The sequence below is a fragment of the Homo sapiens genome, chromosome 4 (assembly GCF_000001405.40).
Source record: "Homo sapiens chromosome 4, GRCh38.p14 Primary Assembly".
Lineage (NCBI taxonomy): Eukaryota > Metazoa > Chordata > Mammalia > Primates > Hominidae > Homo > Homo sapiens.
Window position 1 is genome coordinate 48,138,895 of NC_000004.12, and position 22,302 is coordinate 48,161,196.

At 39.0% G+C, this 22,302-nt stretch overlaps 1 protein-coding gene across 6 annotated transcripts in view; it reads right to left on the minus strand.

The window, feature by feature from the left end:
* TEC (tec protein tyrosine kinase) overlaps positions 1 to 22,302 on the minus strand; it is a 134,056-nt gene that overhangs the window by 3,112 nt on the left and 108,642 nt on the right. For 3 of the 6 annotated variants that reach the window (NM_003215.3, XM_047416106.1, XM_011513737.3), the window contains exons 9-16: positions 17,786 to 17,840; positions 11,969 to 12,048; positions 10,663 to 10,796; positions 7,431 to 7,505; positions 6,514 to 6,685; positions 6,185 to 6,401; positions 2,461 to 2,525; positions 10 to 128 (exon numbers count right to left, since the gene is read on the minus strand). In NM_003215.3, coding sequence (NP_003206.2) covers positions 10 to 128; positions 2,461 to 2,525; positions 6,185 to 6,401; positions 6,514 to 6,685; positions 7,431 to 7,505; positions 10,663 to 10,796; positions 11,969 to 12,048; positions 17,786 to 17,840 — 917 coding nt within the window. Of the gene's footprint in view, positions 1 to 9; positions 129 to 2,460; positions 2,526 to 6,184; positions 6,402 to 6,513; positions 6,686 to 7,430; positions 7,506 to 10,662; positions 10,797 to 11,968; positions 12,049 to 17,785; positions 17,841 to 22,302 lie in introns of those variants that run through there. The other 3 variants (XM_011513741.2, XM_047416107.1, XM_047416108.1) reach the window with 3 other exon arrangements.

A 22,302-nucleotide genomic window follows, 5' to 3' on the forward strand; every position in this document is an offset into this window, starting at 1 on the left:
GGATCTTACCAAATGACCAGACATCTGATTTGCTGCTGAAGCGGCTGTAATTAAACACTTCAGGTGGACACCACTTCACAGGAAACTTAGCACCAGAAGAACTTGTGTACTGATCATCCAGAACATACCTAGAGTAAGACACACCATGGGTTTACACCTCTGAAGAACAATCTGTTTTTTCTACTTGCTCTTTCATTTTTTTCCCCTTGCAATCAAAAACACAGTTGACTGAAGTCCAACAAGCATCCGGTTGAAGCTAAATGTTCACCTCAGTGGCCACACCTGGTGATTTCCAACTTCCTCTCAGCTTAATTTAAGTGCATGAGATGGATCCATCACCACGTTACCATCTGCACTTTCATTTTTCTGTTTTTCTTTCTTTTTATAAGGCAGTAGAGACAAGGTATCATAAAATAGTTTGCAAGCTTTTCTTTGTAAGCAATTTTGTTCTTTAAATAAAATTTTACCCAAAGGCCCCATATGTAAAAAATCTAAAGCAGAGCTGCTCCAGAGGAAGTGGTATAAAGCATCTAGAAACACACAGGCTTTCAGGCCTCCAATTCCACAGAGCACAATTTAAAACTACAGCATATGAAAATAGCAAATGCAAAAAAACAAAAACAAAAACACAACACAAAATGCCACATGTAAATGGTGGAGTATGTATTTATACATAACATCCCCACATACATACATACACTCAAAACAATACTATATAATTTTTCTATGTGAACATACAATGTCCTTCTGGAAGAACATACAAAAACTGGTAACAGTAGCTAACTTTAGGGGAGAATCCTTGATTAGGGTTGGTAGATGAAAAGACTTCAGCCCTTTCTGTAAGGTGGGCAGCACATATTTACAAAAGGAATGTATCTCTGTATTGTGTGTGAATATACCATTAATTTCTAAAAGGTTCCATGAGAAAATTTTCGAAGAATTGCACAAACATCCTTTGCTATGTAGACAAAGATGGTGACTCGGCACAAAGCCAGCTGCTGGCTGGCAGACAATGCCACTGTGGGCTGGATCAAACTGTCAGCCAGTGGAGTCTGAATTTAGGGTATAAAGAGGTTTTTGAGTGGTTGATACAAAAGTGCAGATTTTCTGAAAGCCTAACATATGAAGATTGAACAGATGAAAGCGGCAGACAGCCTGTCAAATATATAGTATCTGTATATAAAAGCAAATAAAGAGCATTGGGTAATTAATATCCTAAGAGTTGGAAGTTCTGGTCCCATTTCTGACAGTAACAGTTTTCTAATCTCCCTGGGCCTGAGTTTCCTTAGGAGTTAAACTTGGCCCTACATGGCCTGGTCTTTGCCTGCATTTATGAGCATTCCTGGCGCTGCCCGTTGGCCAGCTACCCTGGCGCTTTTTCCGTTCCTTGAGCAGGCCAGACGTGTCCCAGACTTCAAGCTTTTTCACTTTTTCTTCCTACCTGAAATAGTTTATCCTTTTATTTTCACCTACACTGGCTACTTCCTACCTTTTCGTCTCCAGTCAAATCTGCCTATCACAAAGAGGTCATCCTGAACATCAGATCAAGTAGCCACCCTCACTCTTGCCCTGCATCATCATTCAGCACCACCCCAAATTATCTCTATTACAGGGATCAGTCAACTTTTATGTAAAGGGCCAGATAACACATATTTCAGATCTGGCAGGCCATACAGTCCCCGTGACAACTACTTGACTCTGCATCTGTAGCAGGAAAGCAGTCACAGGTAACACCTAAATGAATGAGCGAGGCTGTGTCTCAATCACGCTATTTTTATGGACAGCAACATTGGAATTTCAGATTTTTTTTTACATGTCATAATATTCTTTTCATTTTTTTCATCCATTTAAAAATGTGAAACCCAAATGAGGTTTGGGTCAGACTGACAGCCACAGTTTACCAGTATCGACCATGCTCGATCATGTAACTTTATCAGGTCTTCTGATTCACCCTCTTCCTCAATGTAAGCTGCATGCGGGCAAGGACTTGTAGGTCTTATTCTCTATATGGTTCAGCTTATCATTATGCCTGGCACAGAGCAGGCACCTGATTTTTTATGGGTGGATGTATGGATGAATGAATGGATAGACGGAGGGAGAAGAGAGAAAAAATAAACTAAATACCTTTAAAAGGTATTTTATAATACTATTAAATTATAAAAATTAAGAGAAGAAAAACACTGCAGACATGGACATACTAAGAACCTCACCACCAAATATGTTTTTGTGAAAACAAAAGATTCTAGAAATCTAATCCACACCAGGAAATACAGTGTATTTAACAGGCTATACTACCACCTAGTGGAGAGAATTACTACCATCACAATATATACTTAATTTAATCTGAGAACCAGTTAACAAGATTTCCTTTCTGCTTCATCAGTGCAAATTATTCCCACACTTATTAATTCCACCAAAAAAATGCAAACATCACCTAAAACCACGTATACTTGGACATACCTGGCCATTCCAAAATCAGATACTTTTACAACTCCCGCCTCACTTACTAGACAATTTCTGGCAGCCTGGAAAACAACATTATGATGGTATATTAGTTTAAAAATTCTATCATTTAAGTAGGAAAATGTAAGTTCTATTTATATTAAATTTAGTGTAACCTAGTCAACATTTGCAGAGAGTGGAAACACCCTTTAATAAGTTGTTTTTACCCCTATGGAAGTATTTCCATTGTGTATTTGAAAAAAATGAATAGGCAGGTCAGAAAGTTGTATTTGCAATAAGGCATTATTACATAATCTTTACCAATTGTCTTTTTTTTTTCTTTTCTTTCTTTTTTTTTTTTTTGAGACAGAGTCTGCCTCTGTCGCCCAGGCTGGAAGTGCAGTGGCACAATCTTGGCTCACTGCAACCTCCACCTTCCAGTTTCAAGTGATTCTTCTGCCCCAGCCTCCAGAGTAGCTGGGATTACAGGCACCCACCACCACAGCCAGCTAATTATTGTATTTGTTGGCCAGGCTGGTCTTGAACTCCTGACCTCATCCATCTGCCTCGGCCTCCCCCATTGTTAGGATTATAGTCACGAGCAACCTCACCGGCCAACTGTCATTCTTAAACAAGGGCTAATAGAAGGGTCAACTCACTTTTCTCCTTCCCAGACCTGTTCTTATTAAACTATCCAATTTTCTTACTGACAATGAGAACATCTCTTGAAGTCCTTAATCCGGTTCTCACTAGGTGAGCTTAATAACACACAACCATCAAAATGATGGGCGACCAATCTCTTATCCAATATTTCTGCTCAGTGATTGGTCATCTCATCCCAGTCAAAGAACAGGCTGGGTGCAGTGGCTCACGCCTGCAATCCCAACATTTTGGGAGGCTAAGGCGGGTGGATAACTTGAGGTCAGGAGTTCGGGACCAGCCTGGCCAACATGACAAAACCCCTTCTCTACTAAAAATACAAAAAAAATTAGCCAAGTGTGGTGGCACACAACTGTAGTACCAGCTACCTAGGACTGGAGGCAGGAGAATTGCTTGAACCCATGAGGTGGAGGTTGCAGTGAGCAGAGATCGCGCCACTGCACTCCAGCCTGGGTGACAGAGCAAGACTCCGTCTCAAAAAGAACAGCTATGTGTAAATACAGTTTGCTTTTTCATTTATGTTCCCAGTATATTATAACATGATGTACAAAATTGGTCAAATACAATTGTGGATTATTTAATTTATATTTTCTTGCATGTTCTTCAAGGTTACAAGGTTTAAGAAAATAGTTTGATAGAAAGACGTGGTATTTCTCAAAAGGAAGACAAGAATTTTTTTTTAATTTTTTAATTTTTTATTTTTGAAACTGAGTCTCGCTCTGTCACCAGGCTGGAGTCCAGTGGTGCGACCTTGGCTCACTGCAACCTCCACCTCCTGGGTTCAAGTGATTCTTCTGCCTCAGCCTCCCGAGTAGCTGGGACTACAGGCGTCTGCCACCACGCCTGGCTAATTTTTTTTGTATTTTTAGTAGAGACAGGGTTTCACCATGTTTGCCAGGATGGTCTCGATCTCTTGACTTCGTGATCCGCCCGCCTCGGCCTCCAAAAGTGCTGGCATTACAGGCGTGAGCCACCACACCTGGCCGATAATATTTTTAATACCATAACCCATAGACCAAGATATGTTTTTCTTCCTGACTGTTCATAATTCTATTTTCTCTATGTGGCAATTCCACTCATATGAGGTTCCTTCTTGCTGAGTGCATTTTAAGAGTCTTATAAAGTGAGAGTTAATATCCATTCCCTGGACTGCCTGCATCTTCCTATGAAAACACTTCACAACTCCACAATGCCTGCACTGGATGGTCAACAGGATTCTTTACCAAGGAGACAAGAGCATCCAAAGTTTCCCATAAGGGGTGACACAAACCTACCATAGTAATACCAATATCACAGGCACAGAAATGTAAGAATCGTTTTTGCCAAAACATCATCTGTGTGGACAGGTGTAATCTGCCACACCCACGTAGATACTCAGTTTTTATCAGTTTTATAAGGACATCTATTTTGTTCTTAGTTCTTAGTTCACAAGTTTTAACTGACGAGATGTTCTTCATCATCCCTGACACAATGATAACAATAACTGATGTTATCTACAGCATGTCTATTTTACAAAGCCCATTGCCCCAGTCAAATAATGTGACCTTTAAAACAGTCCTGGAAGCCAAACAACATTATAACCCACAATTTACAGACACAGAAACTGAATATAAGATAAGGTAAGTATCCCAAAACACACCTAGGAAATAAAGTGTTCCATCTCCAAATCTTCAATTCTCTAATATGTTTTAATTCTAGAGAGCATAGCATAGTAGTTAAGTAGGGACTTTAGAGCCAAACTTCCTGGGTTCAAATCCTGGCTCTACAATTTACTTGCCCATTGGAAGTTATTTTATCCTATTTGCACCTCAGTTTCCTCATCTGTAAAAAGGGAATAATAAGAAAATCTACTTCCCAGAATTATGATTAAACAAGTTTATTTGTAAAATACTTATCAGAACAATGTCTGTCTAAGGTGACTGTTAACTTTAAAAAATGTTTTGCTAAGGCCAGGTGCAGTGGCTCACACCTGTAATCCTAGCACTTGGGAGGCTGAGGCAGGCAGATTGCTTAAGCTCAAGAGTTCGAGACCAGTCTGAGCAACACGGTGAAACCCCATCTCTACAAAAATTAGCCAGGCATGGTGGCACGTGCCTATAGTCTCAGCTACTTGGGGGCTGAGGCAGGAGGATCGCTTGAACCCGGGAGGTTGAGGCTGCAGTGAGCCAAGATTGCGCCACTGCACTCCAGCCTGGAAGACAAAGTGAGACCTGTCTCAAAGGAAAAAAAAATTTTTTTAAAGTTTTTCTGCTTTCTAAAAGAAATGTGTCCATGCTTTATCACTAGAAAGCTAAAACTAAAATATGGGAGAAAGTCCCAAATGAAAATTACACTCTTCTTGGTAAAAGAATTATTTTCAGGGGACAGACAGTGCTACCGATATGCTGAAAACAGACATTTTCAGCTGATTATTTTCAGGGGACAGAGTGCTACTGATAGCTGAAAGCATCTGTAAAGAACAGGTAGAGAAGAAAAACAGAAGGAAAAGAAGAATGGAGGAGAGAGTGAGAACAGGTGAGAAGGGAAAAATTGTCTCCATCATAATTTAGAACTGGTAACGGATTTCTTTTTCTAGCATTTTGAGAAGTTAACATGAACCTCCATGTTTTCCCAGTGATTTGAGAGATTTTTTAAAAATCCAAAGGATTTCTCTTATAGTTTCTTTTTATAGTGTGTGAGGTGGAAAAGAACTTGGGCTCTAGTTAGAAAGTCAAGGCCAACCCCAATTTCCCTATTTATCACAGTAGGCGAGCCTTTTGACTTCCCTGAAGCTAATTTTCTCATCTGTACAAGAATGATGGTAAGAGAATCCACTGTGAGTAGCTATCTCATGGGATTCTTATGGAGATCGAAAAATTAAAACATGGAAACTTGCTTGGAGATATTAACTAAGTAAATCATTAGATTGAATAAAGATCTTTCGTTTAAAATTACAGGGCAAGTTAAATTTACCAACTTTAAAAATAATGGTGAAAGATTGTTAAGAACAAAAATTGGCTATTAATACATCATTGCACATTTGCTGAGCCAGTGTTACAAAGGAATTCAGCCAATGAGTGGGAATATGGGTGGCTAGGGTTACCAGATCTCTGTGGATGAAGCTGTTTCTCTCCAGATACTCCATCCCTTCACACACATCCTGACACATGCTCAGCAGTACGTCTCTACTGAAATGACCTTGTCTCTGTCGGAGGAAATTCAGAAGGCAGCCCCTTTCCATGAACTCAGTAACAATGTATATTGGTTTCTGCTGGGTGCACACACCATAAAGCTGCACTAACTTCGGGTGTGTCAGTTTCCTGGGAAGGAAGACATATATATAGTTACTATAGGAAAAGAAACTACCAAGTTTTTGGTAAGGGGCCACTTCTTAATACAAAAAGATGAGCCAGAAAGATGATAGCAACTTACATCATCACTTTAGCTTCTTCTATAAAGTCCTCCTCGCACATTGCACCTTCCCGAATAGCTTTGATTGCGACTTTGTACTGGGCTCGCCATTTGCCAAGCCTCACCACTCCAAACAGTCCACTTCCCAATTCCCTCATAAAGGTCAGTTCTGAAGGGTTAATCTCCCATTTCTCTGCAGGACAGAAAGTGAAAGTGTTCATATTTAAAAAGGAAAATGTAGCATGAATCAGAGAGGGGGAAAAAGAACCTACAACCAAGATCAACCTCAAAATTACAGGATAACACTGTAATAATTCCTGGTAAAACACAGAACAGACTTGAAACCTGCATCTGAACTGCCAAAGGTGGGAAGGATGAATCCCTTCTAACCAACGTGAAATGAAGAAGGCAAGACAATTCTGCATAACAAGCTAATAATAATATAGCCTGAAAGTTAAAGGTACTTTTGTCAAACAAATACTTCCTTCTTTACCACTCTTCCTTCTCAGGTTTTTTTTTTGTTGTTGTTCTTTTTCAATTCCATCAAGTTGGAAATAATCTAATTTGCTGTTTTAAAGGCTTTTGCCAGAAGCAACAAAGACAATTAAGTTGGAAGCTTGCTTTCTTACCTCCATCCTTACTCACGTTCTTGTAGCCAATAAAGCTAGTGAGAACCAGGAAGGGCTTTGATTTATTTTAGATGTTAACATGATAATGCTTATTTTTCACTGACAGAAAGTTTTCTATGGAATTATGAATAATGATGAAAATTGAATACCTAGGCTGCTATGGTCTTAAGTATAATTATCTAAAAACCTATACTATAAACTTATAAAAAACAGTTCCAGTATGTGAAATAGTACACATCCAAATTTATCTTATGACAATGGATTCTTTTCAAGGAAAATTAGCTCATGCAACCACAAAATAAGAGTTACCATAGCTGAATCCTGCAGTGGTGGGTGCATTCTTCCCTTTCACACTAACTGGGTACCGAAGCCTGGTGACAAGTCCTAATAATCAAAGAAAGCGTTGCAGTCAAACTCATTCATAATCATTCTGCTTGGTCACATGCTACAGGAAACTCACTTAGAAAATTCATCATTTATTCATTTACTGCTCATCCTCTGTGTGTACATACAGCACTCTGCTATATGCTTTTATTCATTCAACAAACATTTTCTTTTAAATACTACAGTGTTTAACAGGCACCATGCCAGCTTTCTCTTTTTTCAAATATTTTAAAGGATGTTAAAAGGTTTCTAACAGTTATTTCGTGTTCTTTTCCAATATGAGAGCTGAACTATGAAAGGGAATTAGATTAGTCTGCTAAAAATGGAAGTTATTCACCTGACATGACTCAGTATTAGCAATCTTAGCATACAAATCGGGCTCTAGGATAGCAACAACTGGGAATACCAACTACTGGAAATCAGTGTGGATCTTTTAACCCAAGTCGCATACAGCACTAAATAAGAAACAGGAGATGTCTCTTCCATAAACACCCATAGCACTCTGTATTTCCTCTACTACAAGATATCTCAAAGCAATTTAAAATCGTTATGTACTTCTCTGTCTCCCCACAAGTGGTAGGGTCTGGGAAAATCAGGATCAGTGACTACACCTAGTCCACCACTGAAATATTGAAGTCTCCCCAAAGCCTGGCTCTGTTTCTGGCATGCAGTAGGCACTTGATATATGTTTGTTGAATGAATTGAGATGACGGTGAAAAATAAAACTTATACAGGAACACGGAAGAAAAAATTAGGGAGCAAAAACACCAAAAAAGAAAACAACAGAATGAGATATAAATTGATATGAAATCAGTTCCTGAAATGTTAAACACAGAGTTACCATATGACGCAGCATACCCATAACTAGGTAAATACCCAAAAGAAATGAAAACATATTTCCATGCAAAAACTAGTACACAACTGTTTACAGAAGCATTATTCATAAGAGAACAAATGTGGAAACAACCCAAATGTCCATCAACTGATGAATAATAAAATCCATACAATGAATTATTTGTATACCTGGCCACAAACCAATTTCTAACAATGTGTTCAGGAAGTCCATCACAGCAATAAACATTAATGGCAATTTACATTGTCTAGAATCCCTAGTGATATTGTCAGCAATTTTTTTCCTTAACATCGTTATATCTATAGTTTGTACATATCTAGGCTATGTCTTGGCTTCCATAAGTAGATGAAGCATGACTTTCTAATACAACAGGTGGATGGTAAGATAATCCCCCTATATTTGGAGATAGAGGGGTTGATCCTGTCTCACCATTTAGCATTATTATACTCAATTTGAAACTGTTATTTTATTTAAGAGTTAAATGTAGACTTGTATGCTGGCCTGAGAACCTAAGCATTCCACAAATATTGTGTTAGGCTCTGGGTTGTAACTCAATAATAGGTAGAAGTTATTGTGCAATTACTATGTGTCAAGCCCTGTTCATTTTGTTTATATTATCTGATTATTTCAATAAACTTGTGATGTATGTTTTTAAAAAAGGGAATGGAATACATCTACATACTACAACATGACAATGTCAAAAACAGTTAAGTCAGAGAAGCTTAGTCACGGAAGACCACATATTGTATAATTCCATTTATATGAAATGTCCAGAATAGGCAAATCTATAAGAGAGACAGAAAGTAGGTTAATAGTTGCCTGGGGCTGGGCTGGTGAAGGGGGATGGGATGACAATTATTTGACACAAGATTTCTTCTTGGGATGATGACAATGTTCTTTAAAAAAATTAGATTATGCTGATAGTTGGCACAACTCTGTAAATATACTAAAAACCACTGAATTGTATACTTTAAATGGGTGAGCTTTATAGTATGTAAATTTTATCTAAATAACCATTATTATTATCTGAAAAAAAAGTGAACAGTCACAAAATAATAGGCTTTGCAAAGGGTGCCTTCAATAAAATTTCAAAATTTTTCATAAGTTGTGTGAAGCACTGGGCTATCCCTGCCCAGTTACATTTTTAAAGTCAAAGGCTGGAAATCTTTCTATATAATCCTGTGGAACTCTAATTTTCATGAATGTGGTTTCTGTTATTTTTTGGTATTCAGTTTGTTCCCACTCTGGTGGTAAGTGTACCAGAGATTCAAGACGGTTAACTTGTGGGACATGATTACTCTAGTCTCTGGAAACCTATAGCATAGGACTGAATCCTGGCTTATCTGGCATCTTCTGTGACTATTCTGAAATAGACATATCTTGGACTTTAGTGTCAAGGACATATATACCACATAAATGTGAACTTTTTAAACTTTTAAGTTCAGGGTTACAAGTGCAAATTGTTATATGGGTAAACTTGTGTCATGGGGGTCTGTTGTACAGATTATTTCATCACCCAGGTATTAAGCCTAGTACCCATTAGTTGTTTTTCCTGATCCTCTCTGTCCTCCCAACCTCTACCCTCCAAAAGATGCCAGTGTGTGTTGTTCCCCTCTATGTGTCCATGTATTCCTATTATTTAGCTTCCACTTATAAGAGAGACCATGTAGTATTTGGTTTTCTGTTCCTGTGTTAGTTAGCTAAGGATAATGGCCTCCAGCTCCATCCATGTCCCTGCAAAGGACATGATCTCATTCTTCTTTTACGGCTTCATAGATTCCATGGTGTATCTGTACCAGATTTTCTTTATCCTGTCTATCACTGATGGACATTTAGGTTAATTCCATGTCTTTGCTATTATGAATAGTGCTGCAATGAACACCCACATGCACGTGTCTTTATAATAGAATGATTTATATTCCTTTGGGTATATACCCAAGTAATGGGATTGCTGGCTTGAATGGTGTTTCTGTCTTTAGGTCTTTGAGGAATCATCACACTGTCTTCCACAATGGCGGAACTAATTTACACTGCCACCAACAGTGTATAAATGTAATGTGAACATTTACTATATACCACTGGAATAACTCATGTCCTAAGGTCAAGACAGAGCTTTTTATAAAACTTGATATTATTTCTAAATTTTCTTTGTATATATCATTCCTTTAATATGCAGTAATTTAAAATCAACCACATTCTACAATGAACTAACTATAAAATAAAACTGCTCAAGGAATTAATCACAGTATCTGATCATTTTAATCACTACCTTATATTTGAAGTAGGTTTTCACAGCTCACTTACCTGCTGCATTGTGCTTATGATATTCAATAATCTCAGGAATGGAGCCAAAAGCATGTTTTTCAGCTAGGTAATACTTCTTTGGAGATGTTGTTGTTTCCTTTATATGATAATGCCTAAAACCCGATGAACCTTCTCTAGAACAAAAATCAAAATGTGTCAGAACCAAGTTGAAATAATAGAACTTCATTCTTAAGATGTTTTCTACAAGGGCAACCACAGTGTCTCTCCATATGATCCCATCTATTCCTGGCACAAATTTTACTTTCCCCTTGTTCTTCTTAGCTTTGTCTTTCATATTAGCATGTCAAAGTTTTTAAATTACTCACTGAAAACATACTTGGCCCTTTGCATGAGATTTTGAAAGAGAACATTTATGAATTCCATTTAACAACAGTTGGAAGTCTTAAAATAGCTATTAGCAGCTACTGCTTTTTGTTCCTGCTGTTGCATAAACTTACAAATGTCTAGAACACTTAAATCACCAATAGTGAATAAATTAGACTTTTAAATATTCAACTTGAGGGACCTTTCTAGAGCACAGATCTTCTCTAGTCCTCTCTTGCTAAAAATACTTTCAAGATGACTCCTGTTGCTCTTAGGGTAAAGCTCAGAGTCACTGACATTGACATGAACTTGCCTCTGCTTCAACTCTGAGGCTTCTCTCTCCTCCCTTCACTCTGTGCTCCCATTCTACCTGCAGCTACAACATACTTTTCAGTGCCTTGAACTCACCATATACTCTCTCCCGTCTAGGTCCAGGCAATTTCCTGGGTCAGAAACACTCCGTCTCCTCCCTCCAAGTTTTTCCTGCTCGCCTATCAGGTCTCAGCCTGGATATCACTTGGGAGAGCGTTCATGACTAACTCAAGATGTGCCTGGGCTGTGTATGTACCATCCCCCATCCCCAAACCCGCCACACACACACATTACCCTCCCACATGGCACTTACTACCATCACTCTCTGTTACTGGGCTGCAGCATCTACTAACCTACTGGTGGGCAGGGTCTCTGCCTCCTTTGCTCATATTTTTATCCTTAGTGACCAGCACAGTTCACTATAAATGTTTGTTGAATGTTACTAAAGTTATTATAGCCATACTCAACAAATATATATGAAAAACTATAAGGAAAATTACTGAAAATATAAATACAAAAAACAGTATATACACTTTAGAAATCAAGTTCAGGTTTTCTTTTTAATGGTGAAATGCTGCATATTTTTATGAAAATTAGGAATCCATATAAACTACATAGGAAGTTCATACAAAAACTCTAAATTATAAAAAAAAATGGCAGGATTACTCACCCTCCAAACTTGGTATAAAGGGAGACTGTGTACAAGCCTGGTTGACTGGAATCCCTTACCATAAAACCACCTTCTTTATCCTAAAATCCAAGTTCAGAAAAAATTTTTTTTACTCTAATTACTAATAGCATTGCCATGGAGAAGACTAAAGAACCTAATATTATAATTTTATGATTATTATTCTTTCCCAGAAAAAAATGCTTTGAAGAAGCACAACTTACCAGTAGGGCCCCTTGGTTTCTCCCACCCACATGACTTTGTACTTCAAATTACTGCGCTAGGAGAGTAGTTAAGGAAATCACACTCAATTCCCCACAATCACAAATCCTCATGAATGGTGAGACATTTCAATCAGATAATCTCTCAGTGCCCTTCCAGAACTGAGAGACAAGATTTTGCAATTCCTGTAAGGCCTGGACATGTAGGAAAACTGTCATGAAAAAATGTATTTCTTAATGATTGGGTTTCATTTCATACATTTTTTGTATTTGTTATAAGCTTTGATTCCTGACTCAGTATGATTTTCAATCCATGCTGAATTTTCCTAAAAATGTCTCAGTGCTTTTTATAAGAATGAATTTAAAAATTCTTAATTCTCTAGAAGTTGAAGTTAAATATCAGTCATATCGGTCTTTTTTTTCTGAGACAGAGTCTCACATTATTGCACAGGCTGGAGTGCAGTGGTGCGATCTCAGCTCACTGCAATCTCCACTTCCTGGGTTCAAGCAGTTCTCCTGCCTCAGCCTCCCGAGTAGCTGGAATTACAGGTGTGCAACACCATGTCCAGCTAATATTTGTATTTTCAGTAGAGCCGGGGTTTCACTACATTGGCCAGCTTGGTTTCGAACTTCTGACCTCCAGTGATCCACCCGCCTTGATCTCCCAAAGTGCTGGGATTACAGGCGTGAGCCAACACACCCAGCCAAATATCAGCCTTTACAAAAGGAGAGATGGAGGCACAAGTAACTTAAACAGAGAAAATCAATAGTTGGAAACAATGCTAAAGCACTAAAGGTCAAATCTTTCTCAGCTTCCAAACTGAAAAGCAAGAAATAGACCCTACGAACCTCAAATACCTCTCTGTCCAGTAACACTACCATCAATCTCTAGTATTTAAATTGCTTTAAAATGAAAAGTGTGTCCTTTATTAGTTGAAAAATAAAATAAATTGTACTCTTCTTGATAGGAAAAACAATGGAATTAAATAAATAAGGCTCCACAAAAATATCTGGTAACAATTAGGGATAATAATTGTAACTGGTCAGTAAAAAGTATAACAGAGGCCGGACACAGCGGCTCATACCTGTAATCCCAGCACCTTGGGAGGCCGAGGCAGGCAGATCAGTTGAGGTCGTGAGTTTAAGACTAGCCTGGCCAACATGGCAGAACCCCACCTCTACTAAAAATACCCCATCTTTACTAAAAATTAGCCAGGCGTGGTGGTGCGCGCCTGTAATCTCAGCTACTCAGGAGGCTGAGGCAAGAGAATCACTTGAATCCTGGAGGTGGAGGTTGCAGTAAGCTGAGATCATACCACTGCACTCCAGCCTGGGAGACAGAGAGAGATACTATCATAAATAAATAAATAAATAAATAAATAAATAAATAAATAAATACAGTCTAACAGCAACCCACTTATTTATCGAAAATTTATTCTGTTCTAATGTTCTAGCATATTAATTTATTTAATCATCGAAACAGTCCTATTACATAGGTACTATTGTTATTCCCACATTATTTCACAGGTAAGGAAATGAGAACAGAAAGACTGGCTGGGTAATTTGCACCAGGTCATGCAGCTAGTAAGTAGCAGAGCCAGGATTTGGTCCCCAGGCTGCCATTTAGCTACTCACTCCCCTACATCTGCCTCTCACTGTAGGGTCTCCAGAGAGTCATGGAAGAATCCTGTGGGCATGGTTATGTGTAGTTGTCAAGCAAAGTCACCTACTATTGTTTTTTTAACATCAACTACAAAAACAAGCACTCAACAAAATCTTGAGCATGATAATAAGCAGGAGGTAAAATGAGAAAGCATGAGTTTAAAAGGCTGGAAACAATAACTAAATAGAATACTAAATCAGAAATGCAGAGAATTGTAGAGATCATCTTCTAGTCTAACTCCTTTTCTTACAGATGCAAAAAGTAGACTAGAAAAGTCACAGGTAGACCCAGGTCCCCTTACTCAGCACAGAGTAGTTCCCTCTATACATTTTACCCTTTCATTTTATTTCTTTTTAAAGGTATAGCAATTTCAGCACATTTATTTCTAAATGGAATTAAACATCTATTAACGCTTTATTTATAAAAGACATTATGTAATATCAATGTAAATTATTTTAAAATAACTAACTTCAAGCCAAAAAAAAAAAAGAAATACTTAAGTACTAAAAGTCAAGGGAGCAAATGATCAATCAGGAAGAAAGCATTAGAGTAAGCTTGCCCCTCATGCTAAGGAAAGTGAAAGTGCAACAATTGCAGGAAAATGAGGATGAGCCACTACAGGAGACTCTCCCGGCCAGGGAATACACTGCTGCAGAACTCAGAGATTGCAAAGACCTTTAACCAACTACTGGGTGGTCCTAGCACAGTAGTGTTTACTACTAATTGATGACAACCAGTTACAGATTTCTTTTTTCCTTCTCTACTCCCACTGCGTCACTTGATTAGCCTTTAACCCATTTATGCCTAGTGTTCCATTATTGGAACACTAAGCTGTGGGAGTTATTTATATTCTACTGCTCAAAGTCATCACCAAGGTCTGATTTTTCACACACAAAAAATTTGCAACCTCCAGCACAAATGAGTTAAAAACAACAACAACAACAACTACCTAGGGAACCCCTGGCTGCTTGGATGGTCTAACTGCGGGACACAGTGGGTGATGGTATTTCCCTAGCCAGGAATGAAGCAGAAAAAAATGAGTGACATTACTACCCACCCAGCCCTGCAGCAACGCCTTCATAATGCAAGGCATACACAAGGGAATTGTAGCCTTATGGCCTGGATCATTCTGGCTGTGACAGAGGTTTGGCCTAATGAAGGAAATTTACCAGGAGGGACAACCTTGTGGTGGTCAGTGGAAAGCCCCAGGGGCTTCTCTAAGAATTAAGAATGAGGTAAACCATCTATGCTCAGGTTTTCATGGGACTTGATAAAGCAACTTTTACTTTCAGGATGAAAAATAAATTGCTACAGGGTATGCTGTGCTAACAAAAGGGAAAATGAAAACTATCTGAAAGCTGGCAGTGACAACTCCTTATGAAAGCTGTAAGGTTTGCTCCTGTGTGCCTGTATGCCTATATGTCTATATGTGTTATGTGTGTGTGACATTTCTATGTGATCTAAGAAAACTTTTGGTAAATGAAACTAGTTTTTAAATTGTTGGTAAAATAAAATAGAAACATCTTCAGAATTTAATTCAGACATTTTGCCTAGACCTACTGGTCAGACAGGTTTAGGTTGTCTCTGATTAAGGTCATAAAACTGCTGCTTCTGTGACCTTCTTGACACTTGCTTGACTTGCATGTGAGCTTAATTAAAATTAATCACTTCCTAGATTTTTTACTGGAAATTAGTACTACTAAGAATTACAATAGTAGTTAGTGTATGTAATTAAAACTACCACATGTAAGAGAAACAATTCTATATACACAGTGTATAAAGAAAGGAAGATGAGTTTTTGGTGAAGAAGGCTACATAAAAGATAGGATATGGTTTTTGCTTAAGAAAAAGTAATTTTTTCTAGTTTAGAGGTTATTTAAAGGTTGTTTCAAAATGAAGGGAAAAAATGATATAGATAAAACTAAATGGGTAGAAAGAGAATGAAGAAAAAGAAAGGAAAGAGTCATGGAACTTGTCCCAGCAGGGAGGAAATCTTTGGATGGTTATTAAAAAAATCAAATGAATAAAATGGAAATTTATGGGGTTAAAACAAGGGTCTTAATACAACACTATTGAAGGTTGTGTGGACTAAAAGAAGCCCCTGCTGAGTCCCCAACATTAAAGAGCCCAAAATTAGTTTGCTATATCCCCAGTCTGCAGAAACTTAAAAAGCTAAAAGACAGGGATTATAATGATAAGGCTGACCAACAATTGTTTCAGGGCAAAACTGAAGCAGGTTAATCAAGATAAAGACTGACAAAAGGGCCAGGGTCCCTTGGCTCAACCCCCTACTGGGAACCTAAAGCCTTTTGCACAACAGAGGGTAAAATGTTCTGGAGGTAGAGAAAAGAAGTTCCTAGGACTAAAACATAAAATCATAAAGGTTTATAAGACTATGAAAGTTGGAATGTTTGAACAGGCTTTATGTAAAGTAGCTGTGTCTCCTTTATCTATATGTTTTATGGGAATGAACATTGTATCTGACTAGGGAATGTTTCTTCTATTGTAAAACAGAGGGCATGTAAATCTGCCTTTCAAGCAATATTAATTGGACATGATAAATGGGAGCCAGTATAACTGCCCAAGCTCATAGCGTAGAGGAAGTTGGAATGCTGGTAGGGACAAATTTTCTACTTGATAGTCTTTTGTTGAGTGTTTAGTAGGTCTTATGGCAAAAGCCAGTTAGCACCTCCCAGTGACAACTACTGGGACTCTGGACTACAGAACTTCTACTAGACGGGCATTTACTGCCTTGCTATGGATGCTAACTATAGCTACATCTATGACTGAAGAATATAAAATGATCTTGACACCTGAAATGTCCATGCTGTTTCAGGTGATGTCAGAGGAACACTCTAATAGAGACAGCAGTATCTAAAAGAGTTCCATCATAAAATGGAAATAGTTGATACAGGATCACACTATCTGGTGGGTGCAAGGAGGAGACACTCATGAGCAGGGGGCTTCTCTAACCCAAAGACTGACTCTGGAACTGTGTGAGTAGCTGCTGGATTCTACAGTGCCCAATAAACAGCTCTCAACTGACCTACCAAGAGTTGCTAGGTTTGTGGATGGCAGTTCCAAGGTGAATGGACAACATCCTGTGCAGAAGACTGCTACTCTGAAGAAGAGTCAAGAAAATGTGTTTTTGTGTGTTTTGAACTATTTAAAACTTACAGCAATTGAGTAAAGTATACTTTTGAGAGCCAAACTGAAGCACTAACTATTCTCTCTACCTGATTTCTTCAAAATTTAGAAGCTATTTGTGAGTATTCTTATTTTGTGGCAATACAGTTACTTGCATAAGTTCAATAAGAATATGTTTTCTTTTGTAACAGGACATACTGGGGACACCACTGCTACAATAACCACACTGGTTATTTTACCAAGGCTTTGGGTATATGAAATTGTAAGGGCCAGTTTCAAGGTGTAGCGTGTAGGAAAACAGCCTGTTACATGGCAAGAGTGATGTAACCTTGAAGTGAAACCGCAATGATGACCAGTGCTCGATCCCCACTTATCAAGGTGTTCTGCAGCAAGGTGTTTAAACAATGCTTTCATAAAGATGTTTATCTAACCTCACCAGTGGTCATGTGTGTTGGTAAGAAAGGCTGAAGACATGTCCAGCTGCACATGTTTCACCCTAAAAGTTTGCTATATAAAGAATAATGTCCAGAGGGCAGGTGTGGGGATAACTGTCCTGAGGCCACCCATGATTACTTCTGTTTGTAAGTCCCTATTAAATATTTATTTCTAGAAACTGGATTTGTCAGCCTCTTTCTTCAGCCTCTCAGCTCCCTCAGCCTCTGGGAATAGTTTTGCATAGACTTGCTCACTGCTGAACACATTTAGAAAGAGAGATATGTGGAACTACTTATTATGGACTCATTAAAATTAATTTGCCCTTAAGCCAAACCCACAAGTACAAACACTTACTTCACTGCGGAGGAGTTGCTCTGCCTTGCTTCTATTCATATTTCTGCAATACCATCTGAACAGAAAAAACAATACATTTCAGGCCTCAGGTTTTTAGGATATATTTTATTCTTTTCAGAATTAATAAAGTAATTCTGCTCATCAATAATAAATATAACAAATAAGAACAAGATATCACTCATAATTTCAATAATAGACAACTAATAATTTTGATGTATATACTTCCAGACTTTTTCTACCCATATTTCTATGAAAACATGTATGTATGCCCATATTCTTATGTTTCATTAAAGTGAGATCAAACTACATAGGCTATACGATAACCTGAATTTTTCATATAACATTATAGGATATTTTTGCAAATCAATATAGGTCTACATATGATAGTATGCATGTGTCATAATTTATTTAAGCTCTTCTTCACTGTTCAACATAAAAATCATTTTTAATTTTTCACTACTAGAATCATGGCAAGAATGAATTTTACTCCACTGACTAAAACATGCAGGAAGTGTCCCTTTGTATTATTGTCTGTAATTCAAACTAAATCTTATTCCAAGCCCTCCTCCTATCAATATGGCAGCAGATTTCATCTCAAGTCATAATGGAGGCTCCCTCAATGAATTTCACAAAGGTCCCAGGTGACAAAAGAAACGGCAAAACATAAGCACAGGCCTCCTGGGTCTTCAGACTTACTGGTTTCCAGCAGAACCCCAAGCCCTGTGGTTGCCCAAGACTCTATTGTAGAAATGTCTACCATGACCAAGCAGCTGGTCTTCCCTCCCACCAGATCTTTCCACCACCCTGTGCCACATCCCAAGGCCCTGCCAATCTGCACCGCTTCTTCTTTTTTTGAGACAGAGTCTTGCTCCATTACCCAGACTAAAGTGCAGTAGTGAAATCTCAACTCACTGCAAACTCCACCTCCCAGGTTCAAGCAATTTTCCTGCCTCAGCCTCCTGAGTAGTTGGAATTATAGGCATGCGCCACCACACCCAGCTAATTTTTGTATTTTTAGTAGAGACAGGGTTTCACTGTGTTGGCCAGGCTGGTCTCGAACTCCTGGCCTCAAAGGATCTGCCCACCTTGGCTTTCCAAAATCCTGGGATTACAGGCATGAGCCACCATGCCTGGCCCTGTACCTCTTCTTATCCTTTGGAAAGCCCTTTTCTTGATACTGTCATTAACCACCTCATCCTCAGAGATACTTGCCTCTCTCTACTTTCCCCAGCATAATCAATCCCTCCATGTGATTTAAGCAAATAGGCTATAAGAACATAGACAATTTTCTTCGGTCTTTGGTTTTAAACTTATTTTGTTAGATCCTTACTTGTTGGCAAAGAATTCTCCACCACAGTCATATACCCTGAGAATTCAAATGTTATAAAATCAGCTCAGCTCCTCTGGACATTTAAATTTCCCAGTACTGCTTCAGCCTTCCATAAGAGAACCAGCACCTGCTTTTGGCCCAGCAAAAACCCTAAAACAGGGAAACACAGGCCTTCCCTGACTAAAGAAGGGAAAAACACAAAGAACAAAAAAGACAATACAAGATCTTTTTCTGTCCAGATTCTTTTATATAGTAGCCAAATGCAAATTACAGCCTCAATCCAAGCTAAAGACTGTTAGATATTTTATTTGGAATCGGAGGTGTTGAACCAGGCCTCAGAATTGCAAACATCTCATTACATGGATCCCGCTTTATAAAATGAGACCAAGTTCAACAAAATTGCAGTTGTGATCAATACATTTCTGAATGCAATTAAGAAATATAGTAAATTAGGAGAACAGAATTCTGACCCTAACGCTTTTCCACTGATATAAGAAACATTTGTCAAGTGCCAAAAACATTCACAAAAATTAACTAAGGAAACACACCTGGAGCTTTAATTATGAATTATAAAGTAGCAGGATTTGAGAGACTGAAAAAAAGTTATTAAAAACAGAAGATCCAGTCCATCTTCACAATAAGAGTAAGCAAAGGTGGTTTCATCTTGGGTTCAGATACAAGAAATCAGTGAAGCTAAATTGTAGCTCTCAAGAGGAAACCAAACATAAGATACTCAGAAAAAGAAGGAGGTCCCTTCCTCATCTACTGTTTCCAGCTCCTCAGAAGGAGGAGGAAAGAAGGAATCCACTGCACAAAAGGAAGGCTCTTGAAAATCCTGTTCTGAGGGATCATTTTTATGGTGTTGGCAAGTTCCCTGGAAAGGATGTTCCCTGGAAAGGATGTTCCCTTCTTTGGGATATCAATTCAGACCTTTAAGTGTCTGTTGAAAGACAGAAAGGAGGAAGGAGTCATACACAAATAAATAAATGAATTAACTCATGGTCGGGATTTTCTAACAGTTCAGTTCTTGGTGGCTTCTTTCTCCTCTCCTGTGATTATCTATCTCCAGGCAAGAAAAAAAAAAAAAAGACAACAAAGGCTCCCCTGAATTCTCCTGTCAGGAATAACTATACACACAGGTAAAATGTGACACAGATACCACACACCTCTATAAAGGAATACCTGAGGCTGGCTAATTTATAAAGAGAAGAGGTATATTTGGCTCATGGTCCTGCAGGCTGTACAAGAAGCATGGTGCCAGCACCAGCATCTGAAAAAAGGCCTCAGGCTGCTTCCACTCACGTCCGAAGATGAAGGGAGCTGGCGTGCAGACATTACATGGCAAGACAGAGAAAGCAAGAGAAGAGAGAGGCACCTGGCTCTTTTCTTTTTTATTTTTTTGGGACAGAGTCTTGCTCTTTCGCCCAGGCTGGAGTGCAGTGGCACGATCTCGGCTCACTGCAACCTCCACCTCCTGGGTTTAAGTGGTTCTCCTGCCTCAGCCTCCCAAGTAGCTGGGACTACAACTACATGCCACCACGCTAATTTTTTTTTTTTTTTTTTGAGATGGGGTTTCACACTTGTTGTCCAGGCTGGAGTGTAATGGCGCAATCTTGGCAACCTGCCCCTCCTGGGTTCAAGCGATTCTCCTGCCTCAGCCTCCCAAGTAGCTGGGATTACAGGCACCCGCCACCACGCCCAGCTAACTTTTTGTATTTTTAGTAGAAATGGGGTTTCACCATGTTGGCCAGGCTGGTCTACTGACCTCAAGCAATCTGCCCACCTCAGCACCCAAAGTATTGGGATTACAGGTGTGAGCCACTGTGCCAAGCCCAGGCTCTTTTCAACAACCAGTTCTTGTGGGAACTAAGCGTGAGAACTCACTTCCTTGAGAATGGTACCAAGCCATTCATCATGAGGGAGATCTCTACCTCCATAATCCAAACATCTTCCCCCAGGCCCCTGCTCCAAAATTGGGGATCAAATTTCAACATGAGACTTGGCAAGGTCTCCAGATCCAAGCCACAGCAGTCAGGTGCTGCTCTAAGCACGTTACATTTATTACCTCATTTCATCCTCACAACTCTTAGGAGGTTAAGTAGTATTATCACCACTGTTTTGCAAATGAAAAAACTGAGAAACAGAGAAGCAAAATATATCTCAAGGGCATACAGCTGGGAAACAGCAAAGCCAAAAACTGAACCAAAGGTCTGGTCTCAAAGCCTGTGCAGTGCTAAAATGGTTCCTATTGACCTTTTAAAGATGAGAAAACTGATTCTAAGAGGTTAAAATTTGCCTACTGTTATGCTAATCAATGGGGTCCTGAAGTAGAACACACACCCAAGCCTAATTCCAATGCTGGGAACAACCATGTTGCCAGCGCAGCAGTCCAGAGACAGGAGAAAGAGGGCCCAACAATTGAAAGAAAAACCTTTGGCCAGGGGAGGTGGCTCACGTCTGTAATGCCAGCACTTTGGGAGGCCAAGGCCAGTGGATCACTTCAGGTCAAGAGTTTGAGACCAGCCTGGCCAACATATTGAAACCCTGTCTCTACTAAAAATACAAAAATGAGCTGGGTGTGGTAGTGGGCACCTGTAATCCCAGCTACCCAGGAGGTTGAGGCAGGAGAATTGCTTGAACCTGGGAGGCAGAGGTTGCAGTGAGCTGAGATTGCACCACTGCACTCCAGCCTGGGTGACAGAGTAAGACTCTGTCTCCAGAAAAAAAAAAAGAAAGAAAGAAAGAAAGAAAGAAAAGAAAAAAAGAAAGAAAGAAAAGAAAAGAAGAAAGAAAGAGAAAGAGAAAGAGAGAGAGACAGAGGGAGGGAGGGAGAGAGGGAGGGAGGAAGGGAGGAAGGAATTAATTCAAAAGCAGCGGGTTGAAAAGTAGGGATTTAAAAAAAAAAAGCATGCCACAGAAAAGCTTTATTAGAGGCTAATACCTTTTGATGAAGGAACTATACATCTAGAAATTAGGCCCTGAATTTGTAGGTCATTTGTCAGATTCTTCTTAGATATTAAATCCCTAATGTGAATTAGTTTTTCAGATTAGCTAGTTACCCCAAAATAGCAGTGTCAATAAGGAAAGAAGAGGTTTGAGGGCATTTCATCTTTTAACCCGGAAAGGTCAGACCCTTGCCAAGCTTCTTGGTGAGAATGGGTGAGAATAAATCATGAAAAGAAGACAA